At 43.3% G+C, this 18578-nt stretch overlaps 1 protein-coding gene and 1 long non-coding RNA gene across 7 annotated transcripts in view; one reads left to right on the top strand and one right to left on the bottom strand.

Moving 5' to 3' along the window:
• The window catches only part of LOC124901664 (uncharacterized), a 30839-nt gene extending 28181 nt beyond the window's left edge, over positions 1-2658 (top strand). Inside the window, exon 2 of the long non-coding RNA XR_007060370.1 lies at positions 677-2658. This is a non-coding gene — a long non-coding RNA (uncharacterized LOC124901664). The remainder of the gene's footprint in view (positions 1-676) is intronic.
• Positions 1-18578, bottom strand: part of TYW1 (tRNA-yW synthesizing protein 1 homolog) — a 242682-nt gene that overhangs the window by 133113 nt on the left and 90991 nt on the right. For 5 of the 6 annotated variants that reach the window (NR_134540.2, NM_018264.4, XM_017012392.3 and 2 more), the window contains one exon: positions 7684-7861. Coding sequence is in view for 5 of the 6 variants with exons in the window: in NM_018264.4 (NP_060734.2) it covers positions 7684-7861 (178 nt within the window). In the remaining variant the exon portion in view is untranslated. Of the gene's footprint in view, positions 1-7683; positions 7862-7892; positions 8282-18578 lie in introns of those variants that run through there. The other variant, XM_047420569.1, reaches the window with a different exon arrangement.

Below are 18578 nucleotides of genomic sequence, written 5' to 3'. Positions count from 1 at the left end.
AATAACATCAGCTATGATGCACCTCTCTAGGACTGCAAAGCTGAATGCACAGATGGTACAGTGTTCTGGAACAAAGTTCTAAACTCACATGTCTACAGGGACCAAGGAAATAATGTGAGTCAAGTAAGCCACTTTTAAGAGGGAAAAGAATTCTTTGTGTATCAAAATGCGGATTGCATATGAAACATACATGAATATTCTCTCCAGCCAGGCACAGTGGCTCACACCTGTAATCCCAGCACTTTGGGAGGCCAAGGTGGGCGGATCACCTGAGGTCAGGAGTTTGAGACCAGCCTGACCAACATGGAGAAACCCTGTCTCTACTAAAAATACAAAATTAGCCGGGTGTGGTGGCAAATGCCTGTAATCCCAGCTACCTGGGAGGCTGAGGCAGGAGAATCACTTGAACCCGGGAAGTGGAGGTTGTGGTGAGCCGAGATCGCACCAGTGTACTCCAGCCTGGGCAACAAGAGCGAAACTCCTCCATCTCCAAAAAAAAAAAAAAAAAAAAAAAAGAATATTCTCTCCTCTCTCAAAAGTTCTTTGTGTACCAAAATGCAGACTGCATATGAAACACACAAGAATATTCTCTCCTTACTCAAAGTGATATGATTTCTTCCATTTTTCTGGGACTATGTGGCCTCTCAGTTTACCTTTCATTATTTCACTTTTTTAGGAATGGTGACAGGAATTTCTCTGCTATAAGAAAATCAACCGTGCAATACCTCTGACAAGTGGCAGATGACACTCAGCCTCAGGGCTGAAGAAACAGCAAGACGGGAGGAGTGTGGGAAACTGAAAACCACAGGGCTTCCTGGAAAAGATAAGTACTCCTTGGCTCTTGACAACTTTTGCCAGATCATCTTTTCAAAGTCAAAAGTCCAGATTTTATGTAAAACCTCTTGGTTTTTCAGCGTTGGCTCCAAAAAAAAGTGATAAACAGGCTGTAGGAAAAGCAAAACCTACTTCTTATCAACGCAGGGCTTGAGACCTCTGGGCTTAAGGAGAAAATGGATTGCATATCATCTGGGCTATTCACATAATTATAATCATCAACTGAGTTTCTGAAGAATACTGAGCCCCAGTAGGTTCAAGGTTATACTCCTTGACAAGTGTGGTCTGTTGTGCTGTATGTAGACTGTAAATGTGGCCATCGACTCCTCCTGTCCCAGTACCCAAGTGCCCCTGCCCTGTAGATCTGAGTGCCTTCTCATTGACTTGAAGCTCCACCGTGTGACTAGCTTTGGTCCATGGGAAGTGAGCAAATGTGATACAAGCAAAGGCTTGAAAGATGCTCGTGCAATGGGGCTTGCCCCCCTCGCTGCTCTTTGAAACCCTGCCACCCTGTGATAAAGTGCAGCATAGCTGCTGGGGGATGAGAGGCCATGTGAGTAGAGGCCCCTGGGCCCCAGCCCAGCCCATCATCAACCAGCAAAGTCACCCAAGACCAAAAGACTTCCAGGCTGATTTGAAGAATTATGAGCTAAATAAATTATTGTTAGTTAGTTTGAGGTGGGTGGTTGCAGCAAAAGAGAACTGACACATATTAAAATATATCAGTACCTTCCTATCAAGAAATGGCTTTTTTCTTGTCTCATCACCACCAGGCCTATTAACATGAAGTGTGTTACACATTCTTGTCACTTTTATTAACCTCTGTTTTGACAAAAGCATACAGCTACTCAGAGAGCAAAAGCTTTCTCATTTGCCTAAGGTGTTTGCTTCTACACAGCATCCACAACAAATACCTGGCTCTCCCAAAAGTCCTGGTGGACCACTCACTGTGAAAACTCCTCTAAGGGGCAGAACTGTCAGAAAGAGTCTGATATAATCTGGCTCTGTCCCCACCCAAATCTCATGTTGAATTCATAATCCTCAATGTTGGAGGAGGGGCCTGGTGGGAGATGGCTGGGTGATGGGGACGTCCCCCTTGCTGTTCTCGTGATAATGAGTAAGTTCTCACGAAATCTGGTTGTTTAAAAGTGTGTAACATTTCCCTTCCCCCTTCATTCTCTTCCTCCTGCTGTGTGAAGATGTGCCTGCTTTCCCCTTTGCCTTCTGCCATGATTTTAAGTTTCCTGAGGCCTCCCCTGCCGTGCTTCCTGTACAGCCCGCAGAACTGTGAGCCAATTAAACCTCTTTTCTTCACAAATTACCCAGTCTCAGTTAATTCCTTATGGCAATGCGAGAACAGACTAATACACAGTTACATGCTTTGGAGCTGGAGGGAAGACTGAAACCCTTTTAGGGAAAGGTTTAGTACCCTGAAAAAGCCACTAGCCTGAATATAATACAGACAATTGACAAAGTCTAGATTCCCCTGAAAAGATACCAGAGTACAGGTGGTATTGCAGTTACTTAGAAAAAGAAATTCTAATTAAAAAAATAAAAAATAAATAGGCCACCCAACCACCCAGAGAACATTATTACTTCCTAGTGTGTGTGTAAGGTCAAAAGCCCCTCCCAGGTTTAAAATAAACCTATTGACTGTCAAGCTGCCCTTCTTGTTTCTCTCTTCTTTCTTTAATTCTTACAGTGTGCTCAAAGATGACATGGCTGCAAGAGGCTCAGCAAATAGCTGAACTTGTTGACTTGCTGTATGAGCTGACTTGCTGTATAAAATTAGCATTATCAACATTAAAGGAAACTTCCAAAATACATGGCCTCTGTGTTCTATTAGTTAACCTACAGCCTTATTTTTCTGAAAGAAACTAAGACACCAGAGACAACTGGTATTTTGATTCCTCCTATTCACAGAAATAAGTAAGATTATCTCCTCTTAGAAAACTTTTTCTTTCTGTTTTCTCTTGGGATATGGGGGTTGGCAGGGAGCGTCCTTAGTTTAATTCGGAGAGGCCTCAAGTCCTGAAAGTATTAGTTTAAAAGTAAAGGCTGTCTGAAGACTATCTTGTTTCACTATTCTATAGCCCAGAGTGTTTGAAACTTGTGGTTTTATGACACGTCATAATATCTAGCATGGCAATCCTAATCATTTTGTTTTTGAAGTTTTTTCTAGATAATTCAAATCTTTCATTGGGAAAATGTGGGGCTAGGAGGGTTGTCTTATACTTAGGACTTCCTAACATTTGGACACACATTATTCCCAAGCCAGGAGGACTGCTCTGTTTCAGAAAAAGGTAAACTGAAAGATTATGTCCTCAACCCATGTCTACCAGACTTCCATTATCAGAAATTCTTCCCATATCCTAGCAGTAATCTGCAGATCTCAGACTTGCTTTTGTTCTTCTCTTTCTAGATAGGTATTTCAACGGATAACAAAGACGTGCCCACTTTTTGAGATCTGAATCTAGAATGGCTACTTTCTACATATTCTGTCTTGTTCCAGGGAAGGACATACCCTAAAAAATGCAACACAATTTGCCTGCTTATTCCCTGAAGCACAGCACCCTTCATATTAGGAGCTTCAAGGATGCTTTAAAAATCCAAAAGCGTGACCGGGCGTGATGGCTCACGCCTATAATCCCAGCACTTTGGGAGGCCAAGGCGGGCGGATTACGAGGTCAGGAGATCGAGACCATCCTGCTAACACGGTGAAACCCGTCTCTACTAAAAATACAAAAAATTAGCTGGGTGTGGTGGTGGGTGCCTGTAGTCCCAGCTACTCGGGAGGCTGAGGCAGGAGAATCACTTGAACCCTGGAGGCGGAGCTTGTAGTGAGCCGAGATGGCGCCACTGCACTCTAGCCTGGGTGACGGAGCGAGACTCCATCTCAAAAAAAAAAAAATTCCAAAAGTGTAACCTCTATTTCCTAAGCATTCCTTCTTTCTTGATGATTCCTGATAGAGTAAACCCATCCACTTTTTAAACTCTCATTTTCAGGATCGGAGAAATTTGCTAATCTTCCTATTAGCCCAACCCTGCCACCTTACTTCCTCCTTTTTGTCTCCCTCCTCATTTCCCAGTCAGGTTTAGTAAATGAAGAATTATTTCTTTGGAATCATATGCCATTCTATCTCATTTGTTTGTTGAAGATGGCAATCAAGGCTAGTACGAACATCTTGTCGTATTCCACAATCCCTCTGCAGGCCTGAGAAGACTCACCAGCAAGAGAGGGAAAGAGAGACTCGATAACATCTACCAAATGTGGCCGGCATTTTGTTGGACGTTTTCGGGTAAATATCTTATATCATACTCTATAATTTTCCTCAATCCATGATGGCATTCACAGACAATTCCATTCATGATCAAACAATGAAACATCTTCTCTGGTTATCATTTTGCAAAAAATTACTTTATCCTACTACTAACAGATTCCATTCTTTTGGGGGATATATGCCTTTAATTTAAGACAGACTCCCTTTTTTTATGCATATACCCCAAACACCATTCTATCCCAATGTCCCCCACATGAGCCATGTGAAAATTCAGGAATTTAAAACCCAACTAAAGTTTAAAAACAGAAATGGCAACCCTATGTAAAACAGACACATTGACTTCTTAAAAACATTTTAACTTCACCTTTTTATACAACTTCAAAAAGTAATAGCTTAGATATCTTTATGACAATACACTGATTTTCATATTATTGCCTGGTAGCTAATAATTTTAATCAACTCTTCGATTTCCTATGACATTAAATTTCAGGCTGGGCTCGGTGGTTCACGCCTGTAATCCCAGCACTTTGGGAGGCCGAGGCAGGTGTATCACTTGAGGTCAGGAGTTTGAAACCAGCCTGACCAACATGGTGAAACCCCATCTTTTAGCTGGTGTGGTGGTGTGCGCCTGTAGTCCCAGCTACTGGGGAGACTGAGGCAGGAGAATCGCTTGAATCTGGGAGGCGGAGGTTGCAGTGAGCCAAGATTGTGCCACTGCACTCCAGCCTGGGCGACAAAGCTAGACTTTGTCTCAAAAATAAATAAATAAATATTTCAAGCTGACTGCGTGTGCGAATGTATGTGATCAATCTTTCTAGAAATAACCGTGATCTTAATTTTTTGCAAATATTTTCACCTTTTTTCACATCTTTGACAGAGCAGGAGCACCGTCATCTCGGACAAACCCCGCCACTTCAAGTTCCACCTCCCTTTATAGCTTCACGCATTCAAGGAAATCACTTCCAACTACAAGCAGCCAGAAACAGCAGACAGTAAAACACAGATAAGACTCCTGGGGCACAGAGGGAGGTAAGGGAAAAGTCTCTTGGGTAACTGCCAAACTTCACTCTCATACACTGGGCCCCAGTAAAACAGTGGGCCTTAATAAGCACATTCCTTTCCGTTCAGGTGCACTAAGATAGGGCAGCTAAAAGCAGACTCAGGGGTATGCCTGCGGCTGCAGAAAGAGGTATGAGAACAGACACACACCACCTCTCCCTCCCACATAAGCACAACAAAGAGACACAGAAGCAGTACAGGCTTCTGATAAACTCACCCGCCCTGAATCCTTGAAAACTCTTAGTCTGTAACAGAGTGTGGCTTCTGACCTAACTCAGTCAGAAGTCCCTCCCAGGTTCAGAATAAACCTGTTAACTGTTAAGCAGCCCTTCGTGTTTCTCTCCTCTTTCTTTAACTCTTTTTTTTTTTTTTTTTTTGCTCTGTAGCCCAGGCTGGAGTGCAGTGGCGTGATCTTGGCTCACTGCAAGCTCCGCCTCCCAGGTTCTCGCCATTCTCCTGCCTCAGCCTCCCGACTAGCTGGGACTACAGACAACTGCCACCATGCCTGGCTTATTATTATCATTATTATTTGTATTTGTATTTTTAGTAGAGACGGGGTTTCACCATGTTAGCCAGGATGGTCTCAATCTCATGACCTCGTGATCCACCCGTCTCGGCCTCCCAAAGTGCTGGGATTACAGGCGTGAGTCACCACGCCCTGCCCCTTTAATTCTTACAATCTTATACTTTATTGGCCAGTGTTTACGAAACAAACTTGAATTCAAAAAGATCTTTTTTTTTTTCCTATTTCCCCAATATTTCACTACCCATGTACTGAGCACCTTTAGTGCGCCAGGCAAAAAATGCACCGAGATAAATAAGCAGAGGTCTTGACCTCAAGGAACTTGCAGTCTAATCGGGGAAAACACCAATACATAACGGATGAGTAAATTTTGTAATACTTTTGGTGTTACAGCGTGTGCCTAGTCCCAGTATGACACAAAAACAGATCATTTCCCCAGAGGCCCCAGGAGATGCCTTTGATCATCCCTATAAGGAGAGCCCTCCCTTAAGTCATCCAACCCAACCTCATCATCCTACCACCTAAACCTGACCCTTCCTTACAAGAGCCCTCTGCTGTTATGGGGCCCCATAATCCTAGCAATCAACATGGCTGGAACCCTCAGTGTAATTACCTAGTCCTCTTCTCCGCTAGCCTCTCAAAGCCATACAAGCAGTTTGCCAATCATACCTAGCAATCCTTCAATAGCATCTTTTTTTTTTTGAGTCAGAGTTTCACTCTTGTTGCCCAGGCTGGAGTGCAATGGTGCGATCTCGGCTCACTGAAACCTCCGCCTCCCGGGTTCAAGCGATTCTCCTGCCTCAGCCTCCCGAGTAGCTGGGATTACAGGCATGCACCATCATGCCCAGCTAATTTTGTATTTTTAGTAGAGATGGGGTTTCCCCATGTTGGTCAGACTGGTCTTGAACTCTCAACCTCAGGTGATCCACCGGCCTCAGTCTCCCAAAGTGCTGGGATGACAGGCATGAGCCACCGCGCCTGGCTTAACAGCATCTTTTTTAAGACTCCCTCATTCACACTGACTTGCTTCCACCCTTATAACTCTGACCTAAGCAAACATCATAATCTCCTATCTAGGTTCCTGCTGCTTCTTGTCTCCCCAGTTGCATACCATGCCAGCAGACTGCTCTGCAGGAAACAAGATCTTTCCAAAGGACCGCATTTGAAGTCCTAGACCATCTAATCCCAACCTTTCTAACTTGACTTCCACCTGCCACTCTCTTTCACACATTCTGTGGTCTAAATAAACTACACTTATATAATGGTTATCACAAATACCCCAACTCCACGTCTTTCTCAGGAAGTTCCTTATTAACAACAATATAGTTTCCAACCTTCTCAAGTACCAATCCCAGACATAAAGATAAAAATTAGGCCAGGCGCAGTGGCTCACACCTGTAATGCCAGCACTTTCAGAAGCTGAGGCAGGAGGATCACTTGAGGTAAGGAGTTCAAGACCAGTTTGGCCAACATGGTGAAAGCCCATCTCTATTAAAAAATAAAATAAAAAAATTAGCTGGGCATGGTGCCAGGCGCCTGTAGACCCAGCTACTCAGGAGGCTGAGACAGGAGAATCACTTGAACCTGGGAGGCGGAGGTAGCAGTGAGCCATGATCACGCCACTGCACTCAAGCCGGGGAGACAGAGTGAGACTCCGACTCAAAAAAAAAAAATAATAATAATAAAATAAAATAAATGACAGCTTCTCTGGTAAGTTTTACCCTGCCTCTCCCATTTGGAAAAAAAAAATTCATTCTCTTTTGAATTCCCCTAGCGATGTATCTGTGCCTCTAGTCTTTTTACTAATGTTGTTGTGCCTAATAGAACAGATTTTGAAGAGCAGGACCATCTTCACCTCCCAAAGCCCAACATTTGTATGTAGTAAGTAATCAATAAATCCTATTTGATTGCATTAATGCCTATTAGTTTTACTTTGCAGTGAAACATAGATTCAAGCAGCATCTCTCCATAGGCTGGAGAACTCACCTGATTTCCGCAGGAAATTGTGCGTTTGTGACCAGGAAGCTGGAAATTTTACACTGGTGGAGTAGCTTCAAAAACCTGTTGATCTCTGGGTACATTATTGGTTCTCCCACGAGGGACAATGCACAGTGCTTTACCGTCATTCCTTCTTCAAAGCGTTCTGCTTTGACGCCCGGTACTCCTGGAGAATACAGTGAGAAGGACCCAGCTACATAAGGCACAGATAGAGGATGTCACTTACGTTTTTCTTAATGATGCTTTGATTTTATAGAGCAAATTCATTTTTGATACCAAAGAATACAAAACAAAGGCTAAAGGGCAGGGCAGGACTAGAATTATTAAATCAGAAAAATCAGTCAGTAACCTCATTCTTAGTTTTGGTACCAGTTAAACTACATCAATACAAACAGGCAAAACTAGCTTTGTTAGCTAATTATTTGGAATGCAGAATAAGTCCCTTTGCATAATTTGCTTAGCTTTGCATTCTTTCATGTTGATCCAAGAAAATGAACTCAGTATATCTGCATAAGAACAAGCTTCTTCTAGACCAATCATTCCTCAAGTATCCTGAACTGGGAAAGTAAATGTAGTTGGTCCAAAGCTGTATAGGAGAGAAAAAGAAGAGACCTAATCGTTCTTATCTTTGGCTTCATACTGGAATACTTCATAATTCATACTTCATACTGGAATCACCTGAGGAGCTTCAAAAAATACTTCTACAGGCCAGGCGCAGTAGCTCACACCTGTAATCCCAGCACTTTGGGAGGCCAAGGCAGGAGGATTGCTTGAGCCAAGGAGTTCAAAACTAGCCTGGGCAATATAGTGAGACCTTGCCACTACTAAAAATTAAAAAAAAAAAAAAATAGCTGGGCATGGTGGCACATGTCTGTGGTCCCAACTACTTGGGAGGCTGAGGTGGGAAGATCACTTGAGTCTGGGAGATTGAGGCTGCAGTGAACCACTATCATGCCACTGCACTCCAGCCTGGATGACAGAGCAAGGCCTGTCTCAAAAAACAAAAATAGGCTGGGCGCAGTGGCTCACACCTGTAATCCCAGCACTTTGGGAGGCCAAGGTGGGCAGATCACTTGAGGTCAGGAGTTCAACACCAGCCTGGCAACATGGTGAAACCCTGTCTCTACTAAAAATGCAAAAATTAGCTGGGCGTGGTGGCGGATGCCTGTAATCCCAGCTACTCGGGAGGCTGAGGCAGGAGAATCGCTTGAACCCAGGAGGCACAGATTGCAGTGAGAGGAGACAGTGCCACCGCACTCCAGCCTGGGCAACAGAGTGAGACTCCGTCTCCAAAAAAACCAAAAATACTGCCACCTAGGTCCACCTCTAAAGAGTCTGTTTCATCAGAGTGGGTGCAAGGCTGGGCAATAAGTTTTGTTAAAGCTTCTCAGATGGTTGTTACGTATAGCCAAGGCTAAAAGCCACTGCATGAAACCAGAGGGGCCCAACCTGTCTGCACATTGGAATCACCTTGGAATCTTAAAATTCCCACAATCCAGGCCACAGCTCAGATCAACTAAACGCCAATCTCTGGCGGAGGGGTGCAGGCAATTCGCAGTTTCTGAAGCCCCCCAGGTGATTCCAATGTGTAGACAAGTTTAGTAGCCACTAGCACACACCACTCGTTCTGAATCCTAGCTGGACACTGGGATTACCCAAAAAACATTTAAGAATCCCAATGTCCAGGCCATATCCCAAACATATTAAATCACAGTCTCTGGGGAGGGGCCTCATGCATCAGGATTTCTAAAGGGCTCTCCGTGTGATTCCAGCATGCAGCTTGGTTTGTCAGGTACTGCTCTTGACTCAATGTAGAAGGCATTACAAGATATGCTGTCCTAAAAGTCCTTCAGTCTAACAGAGAATGCGAAAGACTCGGAAAGAGTGTAAATAGGCAAAAATATGTATCCTAAGAACACATGAACACATAGAGGGGAATGACACACACTGGGGCCTATCAGAGGGTGGAGGGTGGGAGAAGGGAGAGGATCAGGAAAAACAACTAATGGGTACTGGGCTTAATACCTGGGTGATGAAATAATCTGTACAACAAACCCCCATGACACAAGTTTACCTATGTAACAAACCTGCACTTGTACCCCTGAACTTAAGAGTTAAAAAAAAAACAAAGAAAAAATATATATCACCTTGACTCCTGATAGTTCTAAATCAATGATTTCTAGGTTCCTTTTGAAGAATATATTCTCTCTGCAGGATAGGGATTCCTCATGGAGCTTGGGCCTAGGGGAGAAGCGTGTTCATGTGTCTTCTCCTACTCCTATTGGACATCTTTGTTTTGTTTGTTTGTTTGTTTGTTTTTGAGATGGAGTTGCGCTCCATCACCCAGGCTGGATTGCAGTGGCAAAATAGCTCACTGCAAGCTCCACCTCCTCGGTTCAAGCCATTCTCCTGCCTCAGCCTCCCGAGTAGCTGGGACTACAGGTGCCCACCACCATGCCCGGCTAATTTTTTTGTAGTTTCAGTAGAGATGTGGTTTCACCATGTTGGCCAGGATGGTCTCGATCTCCTGACCTCGTGATCTGCCCGCCTCGGCCTCCCAAAGTGCTGGGATTACAGGCGTGAGCCACCATGCCCAGCCATTATTGGCCATCTTTGAAACATAACTTTCTTACCTGTGAATGGTAAGTACCTTGAAGAATTTTTGTTGGGATTAAATGAGATAATGCATGTAAAGGCCTTAGCGGAGTGTCTGGCACACAAGAAACGTTCATTAACGATTTGCTATTACCACCTTTATCCTCATTTATGAAACTGATTCGATCCCAGTCACTGTCACCTTAACAACAGTAACAAAGAACGTGGGCGAAATAAAGTTAAATTTCACTGCTCAGTTGTGCCTCAGTTTTCAGAAAGTGATTTTATTTTAGACACACTGTTCCGCCAGACCCTGATTGACTTCAGTAGGGATAGCACCACGTGTGAGGGGCTGGCAAAGAGATGCAGAGCCAGTGAACGAGACATAGGGGCTGCTGCTGCTGCTGCTGCTGTTGTTGTTGTTGTTGTTGTTGTTGTTGTTGTTGTTGTTTTTGAGACAGAGTCTCGCCCTGTTGCCCAGGCAGGAGTGCAATGGCGTGATCTCAGCTCACTGCAACCTCCGCCTCCCGGGTTCAAGCAATTCTCCTGCCTCAGCCTCCTCAGTATCTGGGATTACAGGCGCACACCACCACGTCTGTCTAATTTTTTTTTTTTTGTATTTTTAGTAGAGATGGGGTTTCACTATGTTGGCCTGCCTCAGCCTCCCAAAGTGCTGGGATTACAGGCGTGAGCCACCATGCCCAGCCAAGACATAGGGTTTATTGAAGGGACTCACAAACTCACAAACAGGGCAGTCCAGTGGCAGTGGGCTGGGCAGGAGAACCACAGTTGCTTGTAAAAAGCATGCAGTTCGGTTGGGCACGGCAGCTCATGCCTGTAATCCCAGCACTTAGTGAGGCCGAGATGGGTGCATCAGTTGAGGTCAGGAGTTCAAGACCAGCTCGGCCAACATGGCAAAACCTCATCTCTACTAAAACTACAAAAATTAGCCAGGCGTGGTGGTGCATGCTTGTAGGCCCAGCTACTCGGGAGGCTGAGGCAGAAGAATCACTTGAACCCGGGAGGCGGAGGTTGCAGTGAGCTGAGACTGCGCCACTGCACTCTAGCCTAGGCAACAGGACAAGACCCTGTCTGGAAAAAAAAAAAATCATGCAGTTTATACAGCATTTTCACTTAGTACCCCCCCACCAGCAATCTCCACCAGGCACCACTTTATTTAACCCAAAACAACGGGCCTTGATCCCCTGTACAACCTGCATTCCACAGGAAGCGCTAGGGATTCAGATGTTCCTCATAGATAGAGAATGATCTGTCCAAAATAAAAAAACAAAGAGAATGAATCCCCAGGTTGGCCACTCCTGGATCTCCTAGTTCAGAGCTCAGAACACACATTCTTCTTAGAACATACAGTCATTCTCTGGGTATGTTTAAGTTAAGGTATTGGTGTCAGCTGTGCTTGACACACACACACACACACACACACACACACACACACACACTCTAATTCTCTCTCTCTCTTCCTCCCACACCTTAGAAATACGAAAGTGTAAGTTACGTGAAAAAAACACTCAGCATTACTAATAATCATTTGCAGAGAAATGCAAATTAAAATTACAATGGGATATCATCTTATACTAGTCAGAATGGCTATTATTAAAGCAAAACAACAGAATTGGCATGGATTACACACTGTTGGTGGGGATGTAAATTAGTTCAACCTCTATAGAGAGATTTCTCAAAGAACTAAAAATAGAACTACCATCCAACCTAGCAACCCATTACCGGGTATCTAACCAAAGGAAAAGAAATCATTATATTAAAAAAAAACCTGTACCCACTCGTATGTTCATCGCAGCACTATTCACAATAGCTAAAAGTCATGAAACCATGACCTAAGTGTCCATCAACGGTTGACTGGATAAAGAAAATATGGTACATATACACCATGGAATACTATGCAGCCATAAAAACGAACAAAATCATGTCCTTTACAGGAACATGGATGAAGCTGGAGGCCATCATCCTAGGTGAACTAAAAAACAGAACATCAAATATCACACGTTCTCACTTTTAAGTGGGAACTAACCAATGGGTACACACGGACCTAAAGATGGAAATAATAGAGACTAGAGACTCCAAAAGAGGATGGGACGGGGTGAGAGTTGAAAAATTACCTATCAGGTACAATGTTCACTATTTGAGTAATGGGTATGCAAGAAGCCTAATTCCCGCAGTACACAATACACCGATGTAAATAACATGCACATGTACCCCTAATACAAAATAATAAATAAAATAAAACACAAAGTGCAAGTAAATCCCCAAGAGATCAAAGCAACAGAGTACAGACCAAAATGAGAACAATCTAAGCATGACAGGTGATGTCTTCTTTTATGACTATGTAACTGCAATTGTAAGAATGTATTTCGTGTCAGTATTTTTGGATGGATGAATAATTTTTTAGGTTATTGAAATCTAAGATCTTAACTCAAGTAAAACAAGGTTTTCAAATAAAATTTGATCCTTAAGCTCATTCTACGTTGCCAAGACAACTCAGCATTAAGCATAACATTTGCTTTTCAAAAAGCATATCATTAACTATAATCCGCACCATGAGCAGCTGAGTAGAAAGGCAGGTTGAACCTGAACTCCAAAACCAACCTAAAACTCAGAAAGTGGAAGGAGCATCGGCTAGGCCCTGGCCACTGGGATTCAGATGCACCGGGTTCACACTCTAGCTCCACCGCGAAGGTAGTTTTATATCCTTGGTCAAGCCTCTCTCACCCTCTCCAAGCCCATTCCCTGATCTTTAAAATGGAGATTTTACACACACACATACAGCTATTATAACAATTAAATGAAATAAGCTACATGAAATACTTAATGGGGTGCCAGGCCCAACATACACATTCAAAACGTGCTAGCTGCAAATGTTTTTATTTTGTGAACTGAAAAATAAATTCAATTATTATTATTTCTTTTTTTTAGACAAGGTCTGCCTCTGTCACCCAGGCTGGAGTGCAGTGATGTGATCAAGCTGACTGCAGTCTCAATCTCCTGGGCTCAGGTGACCCTCCCACCTCTGCCTCCTCAGGTGCTAGGACCACAGGCATATGCCACCACACTTGGCTAATTTTTTTTTAAATTTTTGGTAAAGACGAAGTTTTGGGCCGGGCGTGGTGGCTCACGCCTGTAATCTCAGCACTTTGGGAGGCTGAGGCAGGTGGATCATGAGGTTAGGGGTTCGAGACCAGCCTGAACAACATGGTGAAACCCCATCTCTACCAAAAATTTAAAAACATTAGCCGGGCATGGTGGCAGGTGCCTGTAATCCCAGCTATTCGGGAGGCTGAGCCAGGAGAATTGCTTGAACCCAGGAGGCGGAGGTTGCAGTGAGCCGAGATCTCACCACTGCACTCCAGCCTTGGCAGCAGGGTGAGATTCCGTCTCAAAAAAAAAAAAAAAAAAAAAAAAAAGAAGGTGATAGGCACGTGGAAAAGAAAAGAAAGAGCAGGGCAATGAAGATGTGGGGTGCCAAGAGGAAAAAGAGGCAGGCTGACCTGTCAATCAGGCTGGTCAGGATAAGTCTTGCTGAAAAGGAGAGTGTAGCTGGAGGAGGTGAGGGAGTAGGCCAAGAGGGCAAAGACGGAAGAGCATTCCAGTCGGAGAAAAGACCCCAAGGTGGGAGCCTGCCTGATTATGTCTAGGGAACCTGAGTCACATGGGTAGCCAATGCAGGATTTTGAGAAGAGGGTGGCATAAACTAATTTTTGTTTTAAGTAGATCACATCGGGTTCTCCGTTGAGAACAGAGGGGCAAGGAGAGAGGATAATCTGCCGACAGACTATAATATAATACAAAAAGGAAATGGTGGCTTGGACCAAGGTGGTGACACTGGAGGTGGCACGATAGTGGAGGTGGCAAAGTCAATCAGCTGGCTCTACTTTCAAGGTATCATCAAGAGGGATTTTCAAATGGATTGGATGTAGGGTATGAGAAAGTGAGAGGGTTCAATGATTTCTACAAAGTGTTTGGCTCCAGCAACATGGCTGCCATCAACTCAGACAAAGCAAGCATTGGGGCTAACAGGACAGGGAGGAGGACCACGGACTGAGTCGTACAACACTCACAGTTCTGGGGAGAGGAAGAGGGATCAACAAAGGGCACTACCACAGAGCAGCCACGAGGACAGGAGGAAACCTAGAAGCAAAGACACCAAAGCCATCCTTTCCAGAAAGCTACAAATAAAAATATCATAATCATATTCCCCCATTTAGACAATCACAAAAACAAACAAAATACAAGACAAAAAAAATTCTTGATGATCAACTTTTTAAAGTAATGGATTCTTAGATTTTAAAGTTATCCTGATTCTCTCACAAGTAAGATATTGAAAAGCTTATGTAAAACCTTGGTTCTCTCCTTCATAAGAGCATGTTTCTATTTATTTCTTGCTCTCTGCCAGAGGCTGTTACACTGGTCCTCCCAAAAACAAAGCCTCAAGGACTCCACTTCATGTCTTCTTGCACTGTCCTCAAGGAAATATGACAGAAATTGAAACAGCCTCTAAATTTCTTTTTTATTATTATTATACTTTAAGTTCTAGGGTACATGTGAGCAATGTGCAGGTTTGTTACATATGTAAACATGTGCCACGTTGGCGTGCTGTACCCGTTAACTCGTCATTTACATTAGGTGTATCTCCTAATGCTATCCCTCCCCCCTCCCCCCAACCCATGACAGGCCCCGATGTGTGATGTTCCCCTTCCTATGTCTAAGTGTTCTCATTGTTCAGTTCCCACCTATGAGTGAGAACATGCAGTGTTTGGTTTTCTGTCCTTGTGATAGTTTACTCAGAATGATGGTTTCCAGCTTCATCCATGTCCCTAAAAAAAACATGAATTCATCCTTTTTTATGGCTGCATAGTATTCCATGGTGTATATGTGCCACATTTTCTTAATCCAGTCTATCATTGATGGACACTTGGGTTGGTTCCAAGTCTTTGCTATTGTGAATAGTGCTGCAATAAACATACGTGTACATGTGTCTTTATAACAGCATGATTTATAATCCTTTGGGTATACACCCAGTAATGGGATGGCTGGGTCAAATGGTATTTCTAGTTCTAGATCCTTGAGGAATCGCCACACTGTCTTCCACAATGGTTGAACTAGTTTACAGTCCCATCAACAGTGTAAAAGTGTTCCTATTTCTCCACATCCTCTCCAGCACCTGTTGTTTCCTGACTTTTTAATGATCACCATTCCAACTGGTATGAGATGGTATCTTACTGTGGTTTTGATTTGCATTTCTCTGGTAATAGCCTCTAAATTTCTAATGGAAAGGATTCCTGGAGAAGAAAGAAAGAGTCCACATGAGACACAGGACATTTCAACAGCAAATCGATAGTGCTGTTTCCCATTATCTGACACTCACACACACACACAGGCACACATACACGCACATGCACACACACGATCTGTTCTCTTCATGGTGCCCAAATCTTAACCCTTTCACAACTAAACTCTGCTTTGTTATTCTAATTCTTTGGGTTTTTTGGTTAAGCAAGTTTTCTGACATTTTTCTTATTCTGAACACCTTCCTGATCTTGGATAATCACAATTACAGTCAGCAGAGTAACTAACAAGCGGACTTCATCTCATTGAAAGATGACAAAGCCAGAACTTAAGATCCGAAAATTTTCATCCTAATGTCATAGCGATAAACCAAATAACACACAAATAAACATGATGTAATGCTCAGTATATTCCTATTTCTAAAGTTTGGGCCGATCAGAAATAAAACATTCTCTTCTTTCTTCTCATAACAATGCAGTTCCTGGCCAAAAATCTTCCCAACGACCTGCCCTGACTAAAAGTCATAAATAATACCTGTTTGATATAGATACTCCACTTGAGGTTTTTCATAAATTAGTTTCTGAAAACAATTAACAGGTGGTGTTCTCTTCCCCACCTTCACATTTTCTTTATGATGTGTATGTTAGCATACCTAGCTTGTGAAAACCATCTGTTGGAGATCTTTTATGTCTTGCAGTACTTTGCTTCTAGCCTAAAGTATAGATAAAAACACCTAGCAATAAATGATGTCTTTTTCATCTTTGCAGCTTTAGTACCGAGGACGTTCCTGACAAAGACGGTGCAATCACTTGATGTTTGCTGAACGGGTGGAAAATTGAGCTAAAGAAACCTCAGCCCCATTTTCTGGGAACTATTTCTCCCTGCCATGGTAGTACTTAGAAGGGGGCAGGCAGCATTTTGAATAGACGCTGAGTGGCACTGAAATTCTGACCCACTTTTAATCAATGCAAAGTTAATTTTGTATGTATATAAAAGGAACGCTAATAAAGGTCAGGAAAAGAAAGATATTTTTATAACTCAGTGAAATAACTGAAAAGACAATGATTGCCCTCAGAATTAAGAACACAAAAGACAAGCATTGAAAACATCAGGAATTATCTTCCAAAGCTGCTCAGGACTGGCCACGTAGCTCCAGTTGGGGAACTCAGACAATAAGCAACAATCCCCACAGCCAGTTCCACCTTTCACACAACTGAACCAGACCCAGGACAGACGGCAGGCGTTCTTTGTCATGGGGTGGGAACTCACCCTAGAAAGCAAAGGACTCTCCAAGCCAGAGTGAGGTAAATAATTAATGAGCATTCCTGTCTCAAGGCCACGCCTTCCACCTGCAGTGGAGTCTTCCGCACCCAGCGCTTCGACCTTTACCAGCAGGCCTCCCCACCAGATGCCCTGCACTGGATACCTAAGCCTTGGGAATGGACAGGGCCGCCACCTCGAGAAGGGCCCTCCCAAAAGGCAGAGGAGCCTGGGTCCCGAGGGGACAAGGAGCCTGGTTTGCCCCCACCCCACTGAGGGAGTTCCTCTTGCCCGCTACCCCCAGGGCTTGTATATAGATTATAAATATATAAGGGGGAAAGGGGTGGCGAGGGAGGGGTTGTGGGGCTGGGGCCTCACTTCCCCTCCTCCCCCTTCCCCTGGTCCCCTGTCCCTGGGGCTATTTGTTAAAAAAGAGTAATAAAAGGATTTTTAAAATAATAATAATTAATGAGCTAAGAGTGGACCTCCAAAAAGAGGCCAAAGTGGAGATACCAGGAATATCACAAACTACGAAGGAAATGCCTTCAAGCCTTTGAAATTGACTATAATTGCCATTTATACAAGAAATCTGTTCGTAAGCATTTCTGTTTAAGCCTGAAATTTGTATTCCCATAGATACAATATTATTAAAATGAAAATTAAGGCCAGGTGCAGTGGTTCACACCTATAATCCCAGCACTTTGGGAGACTGAGACTGAAGGATTGCTTGAGCCCAGGAGTTCGAGATCAGACTGGGCAACATAGTGAGACCCCCATATCTACAAAAATGTTTTTTAAAATATTAGCTGAGTTTGGTAGCATGTGCCTGTAATCCCAGATATTTGAGAGGCTGAGACAGGAGGACTGCTTGAGCCCAGGAGGTTGAGGCTGCAGTGAGCTATGATCATGCCACTGCATTCCAGCCTGGGCAACAGAACAAGACCCTATCCCTTTACGGTCTTTTTCAGTTGAAATTACTTGCTGCCAAGAGAACAGAAAATACAATCAATATTCTGAAGTACTAAAATTCTATAATGCTGTCAAAGTTATCATTTTAAAAGAAATCACATAACATTTTTTTCTTTGAAGTGTTACAGACTACCACCAGTTTTCCAGAAGGGCTCTGGATTCTTACAAATTATGCACTTTACCCTTTACTAATTAGGGTTTTTTTTTTCTTTTCTATTATCATAATTTTACAGCAATATTTACTATGACTATTATAGCAATAAGATGGATTTTCAAAAATAATGGCTTGTTTAACCTAACTTAGAACACAGAAAAAAGCATTAAACAAATAGTCATCAAGGCCCCAAAATTACAAATTAAGGGATCTCTCATTCATTGTGAAAATGTATAACAAATGAGAGCCAGACACGGTGGCTCATGCCTGTAATCCCAGCACTTTGGGAGGCCCAGGCAGAAGGATCATTTGAGCCCAGGAGTTCAAGACCAGCCTGCGCAATATAGGGAAAACCCATCTCTATTAAAAATTTTTAAATTAGCTGAAGCGCGGTAGCATGCACCTGTAGTTCCGGCTACTTGGGAGGCTGAGGTGGGAGGATCACTTGAGCCCAGGAGGCAGAGGTTGCAGTGAGCCAAGATCATGCCACTGCACTCCAGCCTGGGCAACAGAGTGAGACCCTGTCTCCAAGTAAATAAATAAAGTAAAATAAAATAAAATAAAAAGAAAACAAATGAGGCTCCCT

Source organism: Homo sapiens, chromosome 7, assembly GCF_000001405.40.
Source record: "Homo sapiens chromosome 7, GRCh38.p14 Primary Assembly".
NCBI classification, from domain to species: Eukaryota; Metazoa; Chordata; class Mammalia; order Primates; family Hominidae; genus Homo; species Homo sapiens.
This window is presented reverse-complemented; position numbering and strand designations above follow the sequence as displayed.